Here is a 23,221-nt window from a genome sequence, read left to right on the forward strand (position 1 = left end):
ACAGCATGTCTAAGGTAAGAAATTGTGAAATAGCAATAAATATTTTTAGTATCAATTGATATCCTTTATTTAATCTTTTGAAATTTGTTAAGACTGATTCAGCAGTTAAAATATAAAACCTCAAATATTGTAAAACTTATGAGAAGTAATATATCTGAAGGCTTATGCCCACTAAAACAAGGTTGGGCCTTAATAAGCATAAATAGGATAATTATGTTATTAATCATCTAAAAATGTATTCCATAAAACTATCCAGTGATTATTTAATGCCAGTTTTTACCAAGAACCATTACAATTTAGAAAATTCAGGATTAGCAAATGTGTATGTTATATTTAAATCACACGTACTTCTATCTGAAAATCCATTGATTTAAACCAATATAAATTTGGTAATCTATGAGTAGGGGTTTCAGGAGGTAGCAAATGGCAGACTCACTAAAGACAGTCTAATAAAGGGACTTTTTAGAAAGGCATTTCTAGGGTTTAAGGGAACCACAAGAGATAATATAGTGCCCCAGCACAGTAACTTGTATACCTTACTAGTAATAGCTAGTAACTAGTAACGACACTTTAAATGCTACCCAATGCCTGACGATGTGAGAAGTAAAGGCAGTTATGGAGGGGGCTCTGGGCTGAGGGCTGCCTTGAAGGAGATCCTTGACCTTCAGATGAGGGATGCAGTTTCCCCTGACAACCCTACATTACCTCACTCTCATCCACCCCTTTGATCATCTACTTATGCTTCCTATATGCCTAAGCCAAAGGGTAAGGGTTCTCCTTGCTAATGTCAACACAGGACAGTTTTGCCTCCGAAGAGCAGGGTGGGTCACGGTTGAGAGTAGACTGGTTGGCACAAGCAGAAGAGATGTAGCATGTGGGCTAAACAAAAATTTTAAATTATTTTAGAAAAGATATTCAACCTCATTATTGTAATTTTAATTTACTTATTTATTTATTTTTATTTTTAAAGATAAGCTCTAACTAAATTGACCAGGCTGGTTTCAAACTCTTGGCCTCACAAAGTGCTGGGATTACAGGCATGAGCAACTATGCCTGCTCAAATTTTTTTCAATTTAAGAAGTCCTTTGTAAACTGTATTCAAAGTATAATTTCTAGCAAGCACTTAGATTTTGCATTGTGTAAACTAAATGGGAAAGTAAATACAGCAAGCCTATTAATAAAGGTATTTTTTAAATGATATTTTTAATATCATTTACATGTACATTATCATTTTAATGTGTTTGCAAGGGTGTGGAGAAAAGAAAAGTCTTGTGAACTGTTGGTTAGAATATAGACTGGTACAGCCATTGGAAAACTGTATGGAGGTTTCTAAAGAAATTAACAATAGAACTACTATATGACCCCAAAATACCTCATCTGGGCATATGCTCAAAGGAAATTAAATCACCATCTCATACTGATGATGGCATTCTCAAGTTCATTGCAGCATTATTAATAGTATCCAAAATATGGTAACAATCTGAGCGTCTGTTGACAGTTGGATGGATAAAGAAACTGTGGTATACAATGGAATATTATGCAGCCTCAAAAAAGAATGAGATCTTGCTATTTGTCACAACGTGGATGAGGCTGCAGGACATTATGCTAAGTAAAATAAAACAGACACAGAAAGAAAAATACAATATGATCTCATTTATATGTGGATTCTTCAAAATAAATTTAAATATACAAAAATAGAGAATAGGCATGGTGCAGTGGCTCACACCTATAATCACTTTAGGAGGCCAAGGTGGAGGGATCACTTGAGCTCAGGCGTTTGAGGTCACAGTAAGCTATGATTGTGCCACTGCACTCCAGCCTGGGCAACAGAGCAATACCCTGTCTTTTTTTTTTTTCTTTTAAAAAGGCAATAGAGAATACATGGTGATTACCAGGTGTAGGGGTAGGCGATGTGTGTAGGTGGGAAGGAAATGGCAAGACTAGGTCAGAAGATAAAAAGTAGCAGATACATAGGGAGAACAATTCCAGAGATCTAATGTGCATGAAGACAATAGAACTTTACTGTGGTTGAGATTCCTGCTAAATAAGCAGATTTTAGCTAATCTTGCTACAAAAATGAAAAAAAAAAGGGTAACTGTGAATAATGGAGATGTTGATTTGCTTCACTATATAGTAACCTTTCACTATCTATATGTATCCCATAATATGTTGTATATCTTAAATATACATAATTCAATTTATTTTTGTTTGTTTTTCCTATTTTTTATAAATTATACTTCAAGTTCTGGGATACATGTGTAGAACGTGCAGGTTTGTTACATAGGTATACATGTGCCATGGTGGTTTGCTGCACCCATCAGCCCATCATCTACATTAGGTATTTTTCCTAATGCTATCCCTCCTCTAACCCCCAACCTCCTGACAAGCTCTGGTGTGTGATATTCCCCTCCCTGTGTCCAGGTGTTCTCATAATTCAATTTATTAAAAAAAAAAATTTAAGTGGTACTTTTGAAAAGTGTGGTGGAGAATCATTAATTGATTTTAAAGAAAACTTTATCAATTTATTTTTAATTGACAAATAAAAATTGGATGTATTTATGGTGTACAACATGATATTTTGAAATATGTACACACTGTGGAATGGCTAAATCAAGCTAATTAATATAAGCATTGCCTCACATACTTATCATTTATTTGTGAAGAGAACAATTAAAATAACTAATATTGATGAAAGGAATAATACTTTCCTTGCCTAATCCACAAGCTTTCAGTGGGATTAAATAAAACATCTATGGACATGATGAAAATGCTATGCAAATGTAAGTTGTCTTTTTTTAAGTGAAGAAAGCAACCCTGTAATTATGCTCTTCATTTTTTCTTCCTTCATTGCATTTCTGAGAATGCACAATACTGTGTTTCTAATAATCCAGTTAAAATGCAATCAAATAATTATGATATAATGTGGTAAGTGTGGGAGATTAAATCTACATCTGGATGAGGGTTGAGCAAGGCTTCAGAGAGGAGGTGACATATGAGTTGGATTTAGAAAGCTCAATAGGAATTCAGCAGGGTGGCCAAGAAGAGGATTTCAGCAGAGGAAGGAACACAAGTGAAGACATGAATGTGTGTCACTCGTCGGCTTATTTGGGAAAGAAGGAGACCAGGGTTGCTAGCATACAAGATGTATAGGACGCAAGAAGTGGCAGAAGAGGCTGAAGAAGAAGATGTATTAGTCTGGATTCTCCAGAGAAACAGAACAAATAAGAATATATGAAGAGATTTATTATGGGAATTTCCTCACGTGGATATGGAGGATGGGAAATCCCACAACTGCAAGCTGGAGGCCCAGGAAAGCTGGTGATGTGATTCAGTCCAAGTCAGAAGGTCTGAGAATATGAGTGGGATGGGGGACTGATGGTAAGTCTTGGGTCGGAAAGCCTGTGAACTAGGAGTGCCAATGTCTGAGGGCAGGAGAAGATGGATTCCCAGCTAATGAAGACAGAACAAATTCACTCTTCCTCTGTTTTCTTTGTCTATTCAGGCCTTCAACAGATTGGACAATAGCCGACTACACTGGTGAGGGCAGATCCTCCTTACTCAGTCTACCAATTCAAATGCTACGCTCTTCCGGGAACACCTTCACAGATATACCCAGAAATGTTTACCAGTTATTTGACCATCCCTTAGCTCACTCAAGTTGACACATAAAATTAGCCATCATAGAAGAATTGCATCCAATTATCCAGGACCTTTTTTCCCTGGATAATTTATATAGTTGTATATATAATATTATATTACTGAATATATAATACATATGTTATATACTATATTACTGTATGTATACTATATTATACTGTGTATATAGAATATATATCATATATTTCTCTCTATATATACTATATATTGTATATTTTACTGTACAGCAGTGATTTTAAACCCAGGCCTCATTTTGTAATTCTCCGGGAGCTCTTGGAAAATACTAGTGCCTGTGACCAATTAAATTAGAATCTTTGGAAATGAGGACCAGGTGTAGCTTGTTTTTTTTTTTTTTAATGCTTAGGTGATTTTAATATGCAGCTGGTGATCAGAACCTGCACTGTTGAATGAATAAGAAGACACATCAATATCTTTAGTCAAGCATTGTTTTTTCTTGAGCAAATAGGCCCGCACACCAGCTGCCTCCTGTGTACATCTTCAGGCTTACATCATCGTGGACATGGAACAGATGCTTACCTCACATTCAAAACTGCATCATCATTTCTCACCATGTCCCAAATACACACTTTGTATAACATTCTCTATTCTGGTTAATGTCACCAAAATGCATCCAGTTCAAAGATCCCTTAGTCATTCTTGAGTCCTTCCTACCACAATCACCACATTCCCTTTGTCTGCCTCGTAATTACTCATCCAGGTTGCCTAACTTCTCCCTTATTGTGCCACCACTGCCCTAGGTCAGACCTCTATTTCTTCTCACCTGGACAGTAACTGGCATCCTAGCTGCAATTTTGTCCCACTTCAATCAGTTTTCTATACAATTGCCTTAGTGACATTTCTAAAATATAGATCCACGAGTCATTCTAATATTGAATACTCTTTAATATTTTCTCATTAAAAAAATTCAAAACACTTTAACATAAATTGAAATGCCTTTAAAACTACTTCACTTCCTGCTATCTGCCTCTTTCCCTTTGTTGCACTTCCCAGTGGGATGTCCACACATGCTGTTCCTCTCGCATGAAACCCTACACCTGCTACCCTTTACCTGGACAATTCAGTTCATCCTTCAACTATTCTCTGCAGGTATTCATGCTTGACTCTCTGGGACCACAGAAACCTAGAGTACCCTTATCAAGGCACGTATTGGGCTATATTTTAACTATTTATTGAATTTAATATTTTACTCACAGGATATAATGTTTTGTAGTACAAGGACAATATTTTTCTTGTTCATTGTTTGTGTTCCCAAAGGATAATGCAGTTATTGACACAGAGCAGGCATTGAGTAGTTGCTGAATGAATGAATGTGCTACTCTTGGGGATATAATGATACAATGATGTACAATACTCAGGTCCTGTCCATTAGAAGTTTACAGTCTAATGGGAAGCAGACAAGTAAGTGGAAAAACATAATGTAATGTGATAAGTACTATTTTAGGTAAAAGCTATGGGTTTCTAAGGAACCCATAGGAGTGGCATCTAATTCAGCTGTGACAGGGTTTAAGAGAGGTTAGTTAAAGATGATTTGAGTGAGGATTTAATATCTAAGCTTATCCCCAAAGGCATAAGGAATTGGTCAGAGAAAAAGGAAAGAGCAAAAATTTTAGGACACAAAGAGCAAGTTGCTAAGCAAAGGCCGGGAGAAAGAGAAAAAGCAGCACAAGGAGGAGGAACTCCAAGTATTGAAGCATGGCTGAGAATTTGGAGGGAAACAGTGGGGAGAGAGAAAGGAAAAGAGCTAGCAGATCCCATATAATGAAATGGATATACATTTGGGACCTGATCTTGACAGCCAAAAGCTAGTAGATATCATAAGCAGGCACTTGACATGATCTGACTTGATTTTTTTGGAGTGATCATTGACTGCCTCCTGGATACTTTTCGAGGAGGGAACAGCTAGAGGATCAGTTAGCAAACCTGGGTGGTTCAGGAGAAAGGTAGTTCCAGTGGACATGCAGAGATGAGAACTAATGAAGAGGTATGAATAAGGAAGCCTCAATAGGACTTGATGATTGATAGGAGAAAGGGGGCACAAAAGAGGATGGAATAAGGCAAAAAGACTGGTTTCTGACCTGGGCAATAAAATTGAGGTCAGTACCATCCTTTGAGGTGGAAGTGGCTGACAAGGATCTGACTTTGGGAAGAAGACACGTTCAGCTTCGGGCCATTTGCAGGCAGAAATGTTAGTTTGCACATGGGATATAATTATGGGTTAAATTGTGTCCCCTCAGGAGACACTCGTTGGAATCTTACACCCTACTAGCTCAGAATGTGGTCATCGCAGATGTAATTAAAATGGAGTTGCTGTCATACTGGGGTAGTGCGCCCCTAATCCAATACAATTGGTGTCATGAGAAGATGGCCACGCGAAGGCAGGCACAGGTAGAACACCATGTAAAGACAGAGGATTGCGGTGATGCATCTATGAGCCAAGAAGCACCGACAAGGATTGCTGCAAACCATCAAAAGTTAGGGAGAAGCAAAGAAGTATTCTCCTCTAGAGGCTTAGGAGGGAGCATGGCCCTATCACTACCTTGATTTCAGACTTCTAGCCTCCAGAACTGTGAGACAATAAATTTCTCTTGTTTTAAGACATCCAGTTTGTGATATTTTGTTATAGCAGCACTAGGAAATGAATATAGATTTTATGATAAAACTACTTAATACTTTTGAACATTTGCTATGTGCACGTTTCTATTCTAAGTGATTTATGTGTATCAACCAATTTAATCCTCCTGGCAACTTTATGATGTAGGTACCAATATTACAAAATATTAATGATATATAAATTATTATTAAAACAGGCAGCAAAACAAGTTGAGTAAAATAAGGAAATTGTGGAAAAAGGAAAGGAATTGGGTCTTTTTTATGTGTTCTGGGTAATACTTCATTTTGAGACACTTGAGCATGCCTCAGGAGCTGCTTTGGATGACAGAGGTCAGCAGGTTTCCTTTAATGTAAAAATCAAAACAAACAAGCAACTCTACAGCGAGTGATACCTAAATCTAGCAACTGTATAATGTAACCATTTGTTTCCATGTTTCTGGTTGTCTCACCAGGTGCTAATGATAGAGATCAAAGTGGAAGGAAAGGAGTGAATTCTCCCTCCAGGTGCCATAGATGACATCTTTTTAGATGGATCTTTTGTTTCGCCTTTAAGGTAAGAAATGAAAGGGGTGGCTGATGCATTTAGATGAAACACAAACAAGCATGTTTGATTGTTTGATTTGTTTGAAAAGTTGTCAGCTTTATAACCATGTGGCTGATTTTCTTGAAGGACAGAGCCTATACCTGCCCCTCTGCCTAGCCCTACCTACAACCAAATGAACACTTTAAGTAGCCTCCATGCTCTGTGGGTGGTTGCCTTAGGATTTGATTTCCTTCCTGCATAACTGTTAGGGAAACACATTTTCTCAGAAATAAATCCCCACCATAAGTGTATATATGAGTTGAGCCTGTAAAGTTATGAGATGGGATTTTTCTTGTGGTTTGTGGAATCAGTTTTAGAAGCTGAGGAAACAACGGAGGTGATTTAGGCTGCCCAGATGGATAAGTTGTAAGAGAATTTATGTGATGCTGAGATATGTGATAGAGTTGAGATGATGTAAATGAAGAGATTTTGGAAAGTAGAAAGCACTACATAAAGATATTCCAACTCAGAGTGGTTAATAATCACTATGTTATTCAGCACATTGACTAGGAATTAAATTATTTTATATAAGCCTTGTATTTCAGGTTAAATGTTATCCAAGAGAGCATTTTAGGAAGTGATTTCTATTTCATCTGGAGTAGTCTTCTGGTTTTCATTATGATTTTAATATTATTGACAATGCATATTTGTTTTAGCTGAGGAGGATGTACACAGTGTAACTTGTACCTTTTTCCAGAGCTGTTGCAATGTTCTACAGGCAAGCATTAATTCAACTTTGCTAATGGATATAAAGGCACAGAAAAGTTGAGAGTGCTTCTTGATGTCACACAGCAAGGCAGCAGCAGGATAAGGTTAGGACACAGAAGCCTTGACCTTCAGTTATGTGCTCACAACTCTTGAACATTCCCTCTTTTACTGAACATTTTAAAATGTTGTATTTATACTTCAATAAGGGCCTAATTAAATAAATTAGAGCTCAATTTTCAGCTTATAAATTCTTCTGAACTGAACTCCAAGTAGAGCCAGGAAATGATCACACTAGCTAATAGATACAGCATAAGGAATCATGCTATTGTGCTTATTAATATATGGCTGACAATGAAGATAATCACAAGTTTATTTATTTACTTTTCATTAAAAGTTTCTCATATAACTCTGTAATACCAGATATTGGTATATTCATATTCTGGGAACACATACGTTTAAGTGTCATTCTGCTTTTTAGCAATGATTTTTAATGTCCAAATGCCCAGATATTTCTTTGGGATGTGCGTTCAGAATCTTGAAAAGTGAATTTGTAGGTAGTTGTGAACATGGAAGTAAGGTAGCATTGGGAGTTGATGTCTGAGGAAGGTATCTTTAGGAAAATGGCATCACCAACTCTGGCTGCAAATATATTTTTATTGTTGCTTGTGATGCAATTGTCCTGGACAGAAGGAATTTCTATTTACACTCACCAAAGAGACTGTAGCAGAGAATAACAGGGGTACTGAGTACTAACTAACCAAGAGATCTTATTTGTATTTATTTATTTACTTACTTACTTATTTGTGGGCAACTGGCATAGTTTGTTATCCTGTAGGGAAGTTCTGTCAGTTATCAATGTGTTTGCTCTACTTTCATGAATGAGTATACAACATTCAAAGCATTCAAAATTAACATGGCCATTTTTATATTATTATTCGTTTAAGAATAAAAACAATAAAGTAAAATAACAATAATGAATTGATGTCACTGACACTATTTGGCAGGGATGGGGTGGGGCAAGAACCCATCTGGTTGAATGAGGGTAATGTTACATTATTACTTTGAAATATTAACAGAAAAGTTTGGGGGATAATTAGGTACACACTGCAGAAAACTCTCTGGATTCTATAAACAACTATATGTTATACTACTTTGAAGCATCTTGCATTATATTTGTCATTGAGGAAGAGGAAATTATTATAAATTATGTGTTTATAACTTTAAAATAGCTTCAAACACAACTAGTAATGATATAAGTAAACTAAGCTGAAATAAAATAAAATTGTATATTTACATACATGCATACATACATATATTTCTTCTCTTAGGTTGAGTCATCTTTTTGAAATGTTACCTTCTAAATCATACTAAGAACAGCATATCTTTAGGTTATGGTTTATTCTTAGGAAAGTTACAAGTTACATTGGTTTTAAAAATATAATATTCCCTTTTCTTCATAATCATTTCACTTCCACTAGCTAATAATACCAAAGTATATAAATGCCCATGTTTCAATCCTTAAAATACTGTTGCCTCAAATGAACTCCAAAATATACACATGTCTATGCTATCAATCAAAGATGAAAATGTTGGTATTGATAGGCCCTACTCCAATGTATTTGAAACTTATCACAATTACATTTTTAAGGTGTTTGCATCTCATTGAACACTTGCATTCTAATCAATAGTCTCTCAAAACGTGTCAACAGTATTGATATGTATTTTGGTCCTACGTGCTGCTCGGAATTTGGGAAGCACTTATTTGACTGTGAAATGGCAAATTGGTGCGGTTACTTTTGTGAACCTTTTCGTATGCCTTCTCATTTCCAATACAACAAATGCTTGTATGTCACACCTGATGTAGCGAAAGATCCAAATAAGACTCTTTAAGTTTTCAATGTGACTGTCATGAACATAATAATGTGTTATTCTTTCTGCTTCATTCACAACTCTGTAGATTGAGGGATCAGAATTTAGCTGGACAAGATGCATACAATATATGAGAACACAATTTAATTTGTACTACATTGACTCTACACTGCTGACTAAAAAAAAAAAAAATCAACTGATTCACATGTTAAATTCATTTATCCAAAATAAAAATGCACAGTGAGGCCAAAAGAAAAAAAATGCTTAAAAAAGATTCAAAACGTTAAACAAATTGCTTTTAATTATAATAAAAACTGCCCAGGTTCCTCTAACTTGTCACTTCAAACATAATTATTAAGGTCATCTGTGCTGCCTAAAGAAGAAAAGTATATCAAAATTACTGAGATCAGCTCCTGAATTGAGCATGAAAACTTAGACTCTGACTGTCCAACCAAACTAGCCAATTCTGAAAGAATGCCAAAATCAGTTGAGAGCAACAATTAATTAAACAAATATTTGAACAAGTACTAAAAACTCTTCTTTTGGATGGATTTTTTCATATTGTTATAATGGTAGGGTTCTTGATACAACCTTAGTTTCTGATTTTTCTAAATATGCTAGTGAGCACTATGGCTTTGCAAAACCCAGTATCCATCACATACCAAGGAGGTATAAATCCTTGGTCCCCACCTAGGATGTAGACTATCCTCAAGAACCAGAGCTATGAATCCCAGTGCATTTTTAGATGAGGTGGAGGTGGCTATGCAGCAATCCTGATGGTTTGATGCACTACTCACCTTTGATGTCAAACCCTACATATTAGCTAAGGTATTTCATCAAATGCTCCAACTTTAATGGATTTTCTCCCTTTCCAAGACAAGTTTTGAGAATAACATCTTCTGTTTTGCAAAAGCCTGGATAGGTTTAAAAAATATCCATTTGCTTATGTTAGCTTTTTGCTTTTCATAGCAAATTCTCTATGGCAAGTATATCATCTAGATGACTCTGAGTGTATGAGTGTGTGTGTGCGAGTGTGTGTGCGCATGTGTCTGTGTGAATGTGTGTATGCTCACAGACAGATATTTTAAATTACTCTTTTCCTCAAATTCTAAGAAATCAGAAGATTAAATGATTTAATTATATAGCCTCCTATTTCCCCAAATCTTATAAAATGTCAACATCTCCTATTTGGTCTTTGCAAACTTGATCTCTCTCATCCTTAACCCATTTATGAACATGTCTATTTTGCTTGGACCTTTTGGAGCTGACCATAGTCACACAAAGAACCTGTTTCTTCGGTTAGACATGCTTTTTTACATGCTGGTAATTATTAGGTGATAAGAGATTAAATTAGAGAAGTAAAAAGATGAAGTTTGGCTAGAAAGGTGTTTTGTTCTGTTTATTTATTTTAATTTTATGGAAATTAAAAGGTACCAACGACTCATTTCGTGCTCCTTAACATTGTGGACTGCCTTACTGGAGGGTTTTCCCTTGTTCTCACATTACACACATGCACATACACGCACACACACACAAACTAGATGCTCAGTTACTATTTATAGACTATCATCTGCCAGGGTCTTTGAAATTTCTGTTTTGCATTAAAGACAAAGAATTCCTCTTTCTGACTGCTCATTGAGGGTTTCCTGATACAAGAACATAATTAACTCTTTGCTGGCCTAACTAATTTCTGCATTTTAAAAAGTAGCCAGATATGACAAAAGTGGAGCACTCAATCCACAGGGTGGCCATTAACTGCACTCCGTTACTGTATGTTCTCAATTCAGACCACAATTACTGTCAGGGAATTGCACTGGAAGCTCCTTCTTGTACGCAAACAGGAATACTATTCATTAAAGAGCACTTTCAATAAAATACAATCTATATTTTTTAATGAATATTTGAGAAAGAAAATACAATCTTGGGTTCAGAAACCTGCAATATGGTTATTATTCTTTTAATAACATAGACTTTCTCATGTACATATACTGACAGATGTAGAAGAAGGAAGCAGAAATGAGATGGCGGGCTTTAACTCAGAAAAAATGAAAAAGACGAGCCACAGTAAACTAAGTCAATGTTAAATAAGGATTTCCTCAACCACCTACAGCAGACACAGCTTTCTATGGGTTTTATTGATGTCCCTGGGACAGTAGATTCCACTTAAATCTTTCAAGCCCAGTTAAATATGAGAACATGAGGCACTTCAGAGACTGAAAGAACCAAGAAGCCCATCAAAGACTATCTCCTGCTCTAAGGATTTGCCACTCCACACCAAATTCTTTTCCCTGTTAATGTATTTTTAATTTTAGTGACTGTAGTTTTCATATTTTCAGACTGTTGGTTCTGATGAAACACCTAGTTGCAGTCCCTAGGAAATGCTTAATGCCCAAAATTGCCTACAATTATTTCCTTTTAATGAACTTTAAATATGAGTCAGTACTAAAAAAAAAAACAAAGACAGAAATAGCAGTGTGTGTGTGCATACACACATTTATAGGTACACACACATATGTATATACACATATATATACACACATATATTTGTAAAAAAAAATAGGCTAGTAGGCTTTTTAAATGCAAGAGTAGTTTGCTCTGATAGCACTCCTTTGGTAGTCCAGCTACATTGCCAGTTGCTTCAGAGAGCAAAAGAAACACTCCATAGACTGAGAGTGTTTCTTCTTTGACAAAAAAAAAATGCCAAGAATTCTGCTACTCAAACAAACCTTCCATTGAAAATCTAAATTGCGCTTTCCAGAAAACAACTGGATTACAATTCTTTAAGGAATGAAAAATAGGTGGAAATAACCTATTAAAGTACAATAAGCTGCCAAGGGGGAAAATGCAACATCTTAAAGAAAAGGCAGATCACTAATTTAGAGTCTCCTAAAGAAAACTCTTACATAAAGTCCTGAATTCACATTGGGTTATATCATTTAAAATCATATCATGCAGCATTCATTCCCTGACTCTCCACAAAAGAAATTGAATGCCAGTTATCAAGATTATTATCAATATCCTGGTATTAGTTTTGAAGCATGTTTTAACTAATAAGATGATGAATAACTGTGAAGTAAATTCCCCCAAAATGAACACTGTGTTTCCTCCCTTGTGTTTTTAGTTTGGTTACCTAGGAGAACCAGAGTTCGATAATACACTGATTGAATACTTGAGAATAGGGACATAGTAAAAATATCTTTCAATATTTCCTAAAGCAGGTTGTTTCTCCTCTTGCCTATCATTGGCAAATGGAAAAGGATTTAGAATTTCAGAGACAGCACTTTGCTCATGTGTGCCAGTCATGCATGGAGTGAAATGTGTTAACCTTTAAACAATTTGGGAGTGGATGCAGTTAATAGGTAAGACAGATAGTTATAAAGTCCTGATTAACTACAGAGCGCATAGACATGTGGAAACTTGTATATGGGTGAAAGGGAAGAGACAGCAAAGATTATTTACCGTTCTAGAGAACAGGTCCTGGGGAACAGAATGAGGAAATTCTGAACAGCAACATTGCCCTCTTTTGGTAAAACAGTGTACAATGTGTTTACCTCACTTGCAGGTGAAAGCATTTCTTCAGGACACAGACATTTTCCACATCAAGAAAAATGGCACAAACTAAAACAAACCGCAGAGAGGGAAAGAGTTCACCTATATACCTGTAAGGTGGACGGAATTTGCATACAGAGTAAAGACACTTGAAGTGACAGGCTAACAAAGAAGCTTTTAGACTCAGTCTTTCTGGGGTCCAGTTTCAGTGACTGCTGGATTATTTAACCCTTGTATTTATCCTTGACTGCTTCAAGCCGTCTGCGTTGTAATCAGAATCATGTAGCACTCGGAATGTGAACAAATAAAACAGGAGCTAGTTCTTTTTGAGTCCCCAGTGCTTAAATACGCAGGCAGTCTGCAGTCTGAGCGGAAGTCACTGAATAAAGAGCCGTATCCCGCAGAAAAGACGTCCCCAGCAGTTTGTGCTTTGTGGCTCTAATGAAGCCTGCGATGATTTAGGACAGTGAAGGAAAGGGGCTTGATTGCATCAAAAAAGAAAAAGAAAACTGTCAGGACGAGACACAATGTTAAACTAATTACTTTTATTCATGCTGTAGGTGCCAACGGCACTCTTTAAATAATACTAATTTCAGGCTTGTCTCCATCTCTAATTTCCTCTCTGTTTTCCAAGTTAGAGTCCTTCTCTCGCTGGATCCGTGTTACGGGATTTTTCTACGTGATACTTCTGGAACTTAGGAGTGTCTAGTGCAAATGCAGATTCATTGAACCAGTTTAGAAGATTATTTATTATATTTTTCTCTTCCTGACTAGGAAATTAATCACCATTCCTGCTAGTCACCTTTGCTAGCTTACGGGCTAAACATATTTGAAGGAAGTTATCAGTTCCCTTTAATGATCACAGTCCTTTCAGGGACGAGGACAAAGCAAGTTCATCTTCTTTTCCTCAATAGTTTGAGAAAAATTCTACTTCATGAAAGGAAGGTAGCATTATGGTCCATTCTTTAGCATTTAATTTATTCTCCCTAAATAAAATACTAGTAAAGAGCAACGAGTTTCTGCAAGTGAAAATATAACTGTAAAATAAATAATTACAGTCCTGGAGTAGGAAAGGTAACTCAGATTTGTATTTGTAAACTGATTTTTCTTCTTCTTTTCATTCTGTGATTTGGAATACCTGGATCATTATGTATATGCTATCATTATTTTCAGAGTAGGGTTTGACAGGACTTAAGAGTTTAATGTTTAGGTCACATTTTCTTCAGAGTATTCATTTGCCAAAACAATGCTGGAATCACTTACTATACCAGGACATTGAATTACATAAAAATTCTGAAAAACTCTTTTGAGATCTTTTGCAATCAATTTAGAAAACCTTAAGTCGGTTAATGCTATCAGTGCTAAAAGTTTACAAACTGCGTTCATATAAATCATCTTATTTTATCTTTACCCAGTAAGGTACTTAAAGATCTATTATTGCCTTCACTTAGCAGATAAGGAATTTGGAGATCAGAGAGTTAACTAAGAGCACACAGAATGTTGATGGTGGGGTTGGACTCAAATCCAGAGTTCTAAATTTAATTTTTGTGCTCTTTTACTTTTCCTCATATGTGAGCTTGTATAACTTATTTCTCTACCTGCCTAAAGGCAAAGCTAATAGAAATCTAGCCCCTTAAAGCCTCCAAATAGCATGCAGAACTTGAAACTAAAATGTATAAAAACATTTTAAAAATGAAACTGAAGTTGGGCCTTCCTATTCACTCCTGTTTAGACAGATTTAGAACTCCAACATTATCTTAATGGAAGCACATTTTTATAGGAAACCACATTCCATGAGGTGAAAACAAAGTTTTTACTTTCTCAATTCCATCTACAGTATCAGTATGCTTCGAAGCAACAAATAAATCTATCCATTAACATCCTTATTCTGTCACTATCAAATGGATGTCTCTCCCACATCCAGTGGCACCTCTCTAAGTTGTAGCTATCAGCCTTTGCAGGATTTGTACCTGAAGAAAAGGAAGCTAATCTTCCAATGGCAGGATTCGAGGGGCACACAGGTGGCAAAAGCAATTCTATAGGTCTGCCACCAAACACAAACAGCACTACAGGTAAGCCTTCCTAGACCGTATTGTTCAGTTAGACCGTATTTTCACTGAATTCCCCTTTGAACCTAAGGAATTTGCTTACTATTACCTGTAGAAGAAAATGTCCTTGTGCAAATTTCTCCTGGCCAAAATATGCAAGACTTTATTATAGTAAGAAAGAGCCAGTTCCCTATAGCCATCTATGTCTTTCTGCATGAATGTGTTCATTGACCTTTGAGGCCAGCAACATAATTGGGGAGTGGGGGGAAAAGAATATTATTTCTTCTAGGATAAAATAAGAAAAAAAATCAGTAAGTTTGCTGCTTTTTACATCTGGAAAGAGAAAGAAACAAATTTTTCCTGTCTCTGTGAGTGCTGACATCCACATACACTATAGATTTAAAGTAACTTGTGGGCTGTTTCATTTTCACATAGGAAATATAATTCAAGTAAGATTCAAGTGACATTTTCCAGCGTGATGCTCAAGTTATAAATAATAATGGTTCCCAGCATTTTTTTTTCTGGATCAAAATGAATCCAAAATGATTCACATAGGTATTGCTACTGTAATTTAATCCGTTGGTCAAATAGGAGTGCTTATGCTCGTGGCAAAAATCTTGGAAAATTATTTGTTAGCATTTTTTCTTTCTTTGTACATTTGGATCCTGGATACGAGAGGTATTAGGATATCATTAAAGGTTACTGTCACAGGTTTCTTTCAAGAAATTGCACAATGTCTCATTAGTGTATTCTGTAAAAATTTTCTAGTTTCTTATGTGTGCTTTAATTTCCTGATTTTTGAAATGTCCTCAGACATTTTGTAAGTGGCCAAATGTTATATATGTGTATATTATATGTATATATATAATATATATATAGTTATTGTTTTTCTTAAGCTTGGTTGGTTTTGCATTCTCTAGGCTACTTCCCACTGTTTTTATTAGTATTAATTTTGTCTTCTGGTTTAAGTGATCAGTTTGAATAACAACTTATTCCAGGTGAGGGAAAATAAACGAACTTTCGAAAATGAGTGGTAACTCACTGCAAAATTGTTTGGGCTGGTGAATAATTTGATTTATTTACATGTGAATTTGCAGATTTTATGATGCCTAATGGTATCAAGCCTCAATGATTTTCCAACTATGTATATAGGCAGTCCCCTCATTCAGAACGTGTTATGTTCTGAAAGTTTATTTGTAAGTCACTTGCGTGGAACTCAGAATGCATTTTCTTCCAGAAACAATATTATAATGGTGATTAAGACCCCAGGCTAACCTCTCCCAATGTTTTTGCAACATTCTTTTACATTTTCAGAAAAATCCTATAAAAATTGTGGGTGTTTTCATACTAGTAATCAAACAACACAAGAAAATAATAAAATTGAAAAGGACGGTTTTTGAAATACTGGTGCTTGAGGAAAACAGGTTTAATTAGAGGAGGATGAGGATGTGGGTGGAGATTGTTGTGGAAATTCTGAAGGAGACTCCTGGGTACACTCAAGGGCTCTTGCAGTGCGCGGCACTGGCTTGTGATTGTGTCTAATTTCACTTCACAATTTGAGACTCTCCTTCACTCTATATTACAGGTGTATCATGAATGCTTATGAACCATAATTGAGGTCATTGCTTCTCTGTGTGTTCACAAATGGAAGGAATTGGTAAGGGGGAAAAAGATTATTTTGAGGTAACTGTGTGAGAGACAGAACAGGGAAACCAACATCAACGGCAATGGCCACAACAACCACAGAATGTTTCCTGAGGGGAAATTGATGAGTCATAAATGGTTTCTCAGAAGGAGAAATAAGCAGAGAATGTCTAGTCCCCTGAAAGTAACAGGTGTGCTGCAGATGCTGTTTTACCCTGGTCCATGGATCTCCTCTAGAAAAAGCTAGGGGAAGGGAAAGATAGGATGGCTCCATGTGCATAGGCCGAGTTAGGGATTCTTTCCCCCGTTGGATATTTATAAGATTGGAAATGTCTATGTTCTGTAAGTGGGAGAAATAGGGAGGCATAATACGTGGAATAAGCTATGTTTGCCATGCTATGTTTTAAATATTTGTAAGCTCACACATTATCTAAAAATGCACGAATATATATACAGAGAGGGATCAATAGATTTCAATGTATTGGGAAAAAGGAATTAAAATTGACCCTTGTATTTTCACAAAGGGCCCTAGTTACACTTTCTCTTAGAATTTACTTTTCATAAATTTTGAAAAAAATTGTAAAATATTGAAAGCCAAATTACTTGATAAGCAGAATTTGTAAGGAGAGATTTTGTGTGTGTGTGTGTGTGTGTGTGTGTGTGTGTGTGTACATGTGTATATGTGTGTGTGTGCGTAGAGATGAAATTGATCCTTGGAATGATATGTGTATTTTAAAAGAATCCTTAGCTGTAGGTTATACAGAGGGAATAATCCCATTTTATCCCATTTTATTCATGGCTACTTTTGAAACATTGAAAATAGTTTCTTATTAAAAAGATATTGAGAACCCCTGAATCTAAAATAAAGGTTAAAAAAAAAGAAAGGATGTTGAGGTATGCCATGTAACATATACTATCCATAACTACTCCCAATAACGTTGTGAAAGAGGTTCTTTATAAATCCCACGTGTCAGATGAAGAAACTGCAACTCACAGATGTTATATAATTTGTCCAGGATTACACATATGGTACCTGATGGGGGAATTTAGACGCAAATATGCTTGATTTAAAATACACTACTTCTTACAATTATGTGGATTACAAAGCAGAGAGTTGTTAGAATGTAAAAAAAGATAAATTTTCTTACTTAATCCATTTCAGGTCAATGAATTTCTGCCATTGGTTTCTGCCTAGTTCAATAGTGACCTCAGAAGGCAGTGACAACAAAGAAAACAGTTCTATCCTCCAGGGTCTGATAGATCATTTTGCTCCTTTCCTGATGAGAGGTCTTCAGCTGACTTAGAATTATCAGTGCCACTGGTCATGAGGAGGACATGTGACATATTATTATGCAATCATTTCTACTACAGAAAAGTCTTCAAATTATTCTTACAAATGGCTATTTTATCTTTCCAGAGATAAAATACACTATTTTTGTTAAGTTGGAGATATTGTTAATCAATGGAACTTCTAAATAGTTATATAGAATTCAATAGAGTCACCAAGGTTGTTTTTAATTTTTGGTATCCTTCATTATGAGCTTTAAGTTATATGAATAAGCTTCCACTTACTAGACACACACTAACTCTGGTCCTTCCCAGGACCCATCTTCTGCTCGAATAAATGCATAGAAATGCAAATAAAGAAAAACGAGAGAAAGGAAGAGAGAGAGAAAAGATTTTGAGGAGTGAGTCAGAAATCAACCAGTGATTTCAGCAAATTTCTGAAAGACAGAAAGCAAATAAGTATAGAAGAATGGATGAAATAGGAATACTACAGACTAGAATGTACCACAGGAGAGCTGCAGAGAAGTTTGAAGCCAGTTTTCTGTCAATGAAATTATTAAGAAAACCGGAGACCAGAGTTAGTTAGCACTTACTGGAGAGGGCTGATCTGATACGCAGGAATGACAAAAAATTAAAACCGTTGTAAGGGTCAAATGAACCTATGGTTTCACGAGTAGTCAACATTTACCTTCAGGTAGGAAGCAGTTGGGTCTTCTCTAAACAAGTGGCCTGAAATGTGTGTTAAAAAGATTTATATTGCAGCACTATTCACAATAGCAAAGACTTGGAACCAACCCAGATGCCCATCAATGATAGACTGGATAAAGAAAATGTGGCACATATAAACCATGGAATACTATGCAGCCATAAAAAAGGATGAGTTCATGTCCTTTGCAGGGACATGGATGAAGCTGGAAACCATCATCCTCAGCAAACTAACACAGGAACAGAAAACCAAACTCCTCATCTTCTCACTCATAAGTTGGAGCTGAACAACGAGAACACATGGACACAGGGAGGGGAACAACACATACCGGGGCCTGTCAGAGGGTGGGGGACTAGGGGAGGGATAGCATTAGGAGAAATACCTAATGTAGATGACGGGTTGATCGTGCAGTAAACCACCATGGCACGTTTATGCTTATGTAACAAACCTGCGCGTCCTGCACATGTATCCCAGAACTTAAAGTATGATAAAAAAATAAATAAATGGAAGAATGTGAAGAGAAGGTGTTCTGAAGTGTTCCATGAACAGAACTCAAAGATAATCAAAATTTAAGTGAGCAAAGAAAAATTTGCATGTTGTTTTTGACATTTTATCAAATGGCCAGAGCAGACCTACCTTCTGTGTCATTTTTCAAAATATACAGAATATCTAAAGATGAAAAAAAATTTCTAAAGTTAAAAAAAGATGATGTATAAGTTTGCAATCATTTTTTAAAAATGAGAAATTTGATGATAATCTCAAAGATATTTGCAGAGAGAAACAGAAAGGCAGAGACAGAAATTGTAGAAAGGGAGGTTTGAGAATATAGCCATGCCGTTAACAACTAATCAGGACTGGAGCCAGAGGATAGAAGGCTGTAGGGGGAAGTTTTGTGGAAAAAGAAGGAGTCAATAGATTACATGGTATTATTAAAAACTGGAAAAAACACATGGCTCAAAAAAAAAGACAAGTTTAGATTTTATTTTATTGTGATAAGAACACAACATGAGCATTAACATATTTTTAAGTGTGCAATACATTATTGTTCACTATAAATCTGATGTTTTATAACATATCTCTACAGCTTATTCATTTTGCTTAAATGAAAATTTATGGGGGTAGTTTTCCCCCATAGGATTGTTTTGTAACGATAGTAAATTCTAGGAAGAAAATCACGATCCAAATATGAGACAACTGAAAATATGATCATTTAAATTTGTAATTGTATTAATAGCATAAGAAAAGAGAATCCATTGGTGGTGTTCTTACTGTTGAATTTAGGATTTTTTTTTTTTTTTTTTTTTTTTTGAGACAGAGTCTCAATCTGTCGCCCAGGCTGACTACAACCTTAAATTCCTGGGCTCAAGGGATCTTCCTGGCTCAGCCTCCTGAGTAACTGAAACTACAGGCCCGCGCCACCATGCCCAGATAATTTTTAAAAATAATTGTTTTAGAGACAAGGTCTTGCTGTGTTGCCCAGGCTAGTGTTGAATTCCTGGCCTCAAGTGATTTCTGCTCCTTGGCCTCCCAAAGTGCTGGGATTACAGGCATGAGCCACTGTGCCCAATCTAGGAACATTTTTTATTGAGTCATCCAGAGTCATGACATTGGGCCAAGAGAGAAAAAAAATTATATTCCCAGCCCACTAATTGGCTCAGCAGTGAAAAATTTTTACATAGCCATAATAATGTAATTCTTTATATTGTTTTTCAACTTATAAATTCACGGCCAGAGTTAGGAAGACTGCTTTTACTTGTAGAAAAAATGTATATGTTAACAAAAATAATGAGGTAAAAATTCAAATGTAACAGACAGAAGGTAGGATATATGAAAGGTGGCAGAAGGTAGAGGAAGAGGTAGAAGAGCTAACATATTTAACAAAGTCAGGAACAAAGTGATATTATTGAAAATGACCATCTCAGATTTCAAACCAAGGCAATATAAGGTCATGTTTCAAAATACTCTCTTGTATTCAAGCAATATAGCAATTCTTGACAATATTGGTTCCATGATCTTTTCCCTCAAGCCCCTCTGAACAAGTCTGATCTCCATGAACTTCACAATGGTAAGAGTGATCTAATCATGAAGTTGCTACAATCACTTCTATACCAAACTGTGGCAGGCAGGATAATGTACCTCCCCAAAAAAGATGTCTGTTGTTTCAAAATGCTAAGCTTGTGATACTTTGTTACAGCAGCAATAGGGAACTAATTCACAAGCCAATTTACACAGCTCATCAAGAGAATGGATTTCTGCCATTTCTCTGTCCAAGGTCACTTTCAGGCCTTGTGGCGAAAATATACTAGAGAAAAGAAAAAATATATAGATTTGCAACTACATGATGTTTATTCATTCAGTATTTCTGTGTAGTATTTCAGCCCTAGTTGCACATTAGAAGCATCCGAGGTACTTTAAAAAATAACATGAGCCAGGCCCTACAGTAAAACAATTAAATCAGAATCTTTGGGAATGAGATTCTGGGCACCAATATTTTTTGAAATGTCACTAGGTGATTTTATTGTGAAGTCAGAGTTGAAGACCAGTGGTCTACATGACTCAGGTAAGTTACTGAGAGACACAAGAGGCAATACATGTACCCTTAAAACATGCAGGATTAGTATAAGATCTTATTAATAAGCCACATTCTCCCCCTTGTTCCTCTCATGCTCTTGCTAGATAATAAGTTTCTCCACCTAAATTGCTATATACTTTTATTTTCATGCAATTTCCTCGCTATAATTATTTTAAAAATGAGAATCATTTTGTCAAGACATCTATGAATACTGAATGGGAAATTCTGAATCCTTATCTCAACTTGATCAGCTCCTACTGAGATCTTAGTTCTCCTCACTTTTTATGTCAGAGGAAGGGAAAGTATCCTCTTAGTTCTGCTGCCTTCTGTTCTCTGGCTATCCATTAGGTCCTATTAATATGTACTGTCTTTTCTAAATTTATTAACTTAACTCATTTTCTACTAACTCAACAACATGCTGTTTCTCTCTCCATACAACTGATTCTTTCTCTGGAAGTCTTCTCTGATTAATTATGTACAGAAAAAGATTAAATTAGAAGGATATAACCATACTCAAAAGCAAAGAAAGCCTCATTGTGAAACTGAACCAGAAGAGAAATAAAAAACAGCAAGTGGGGCAAAGGCTGTGGCTGTCTGAGTACCACATCTGTCAGTTGAGGAATGTTCAAGGGTAAAAGGACTAGAGAAAAGGACATGCTTGAAATTGGGGAGTAAAATAAGGCATCTTCAACCCAGAAAGGAAGCTGTATAAAGCTGTAACAGGTCACTGACTGGGACCAATGCCTATATGAATTGAGCTGCATTTCTAAGAAAAGGAAGGACTCTACGTCGCATCCAAAGTCTGGGCCAAGCTACCCAGATACTCGAGTATCTGGAATTGAAAATATTCACAATTACCCTGCAGCCCAGGGGTAACATTCTTCCAGGACAGCTCATTATCTGGCCTGAAGGCCCCAGGCAGAAAGTGATGTGTAGTCAACTTAAAACTTCACACACGAAAAATGGTGGGGAGAGAAAGACAAGGAAAGGCAGAGACAGAGAGATTGTAGTAAACTCCCAACCAAGAAATGTCTGAAAATGATTATTAAAAATGAATGCTCAAAAGACAGCTGACAAAATAAAAATCAATTGCTGGGAGATGAATTCAATGTAGATAAAAATGAAAATTATAACGTTACCAAAAAAAGACTTCACAAACACATTGAGAATCTCAAAAAGATAAAATACTGAATTGTATCTACTAAAATAACCCCTAAGAAACTGTGAAACAAAAAGCAATCATAAATTAAAACAATTCTTTTAAAAAATTCAAAAACAATATTAGGTAGACATGAAAGAATAAATTAGAAATGCTGAAGTTTTCTTTTTAAGGAGAATTTACAAATCTCAAGAGAAAAAAGTAACATTTAGACAGAGATGAAGAGAGAATTCATGATTCAAGAGATAGCACCAAGGATTTAGTCCAGATTGCAACACAGAGAAACTGAGTTAAAAAAATACTAAAGAGCAGCTAAAAAAAACCATGTTTAGTTGTTTTTTTCTTCGCATTTTTTTAAATGCTAAAGTAATGTTTCTTTATAAATTTAGGAAATATGGAAAATTAAAAGGAAGAAAAAATTCACCCATAGTTCCATCATACAAATTCAATTTCTGAGAGTTTTATTTTTGTGTGTTTTATCTTACATTCTTCTTCATCTTTAATATTTCCATGTATGGGATTTTGGTTGGTTGCTTTTTAAATTTCTTTTTACACAATTGTAATCATGCTGTATACACACTTCTGGTTTTTAAAAACATTTCAGTAAGCTTTTCAACATCTTTAAGTCCTTTTGAAAACTATGCATTTAAAAAAATATATAGCTATTGTATTTATTTATTCAACAAATATGTCCTGTGAACTAATGATAGTTCAGGCACAAACTGTTCTAGGTACTAGAGATAGAGCAGAAAATCACCTTTCCTCATGGAGTTTACACATGAGTGGGGAGAAATCCACATTGAAGATA

The 23,221-nt window shown here is 35.8% G+C and overlaps 1 annotated feature.

Annotated features, from left to right (window-relative positions):
- Positions 16,917–16,966: an enhancer, noted in NCBI's record as "active region_16669". NCBI's record gives its function as "activates an Ori minimal core promoter by ATAC-STARR-seq in GM12878 lymphoblastoid cells {active_cell/tissue: GM12878}" and the evidence as "EXISTENCE:reporter gene assay evidence [ECO:0000049][PMID:35858748]".

This window comes from Homo sapiens, chromosome 2, assembly GCF_000001405.40.
Source record: "Homo sapiens chromosome 2, GRCh38.p14 Primary Assembly".
Lineage (NCBI taxonomy): Eukaryota > Metazoa > Chordata > Mammalia > Primates > Hominidae > Homo > Homo sapiens.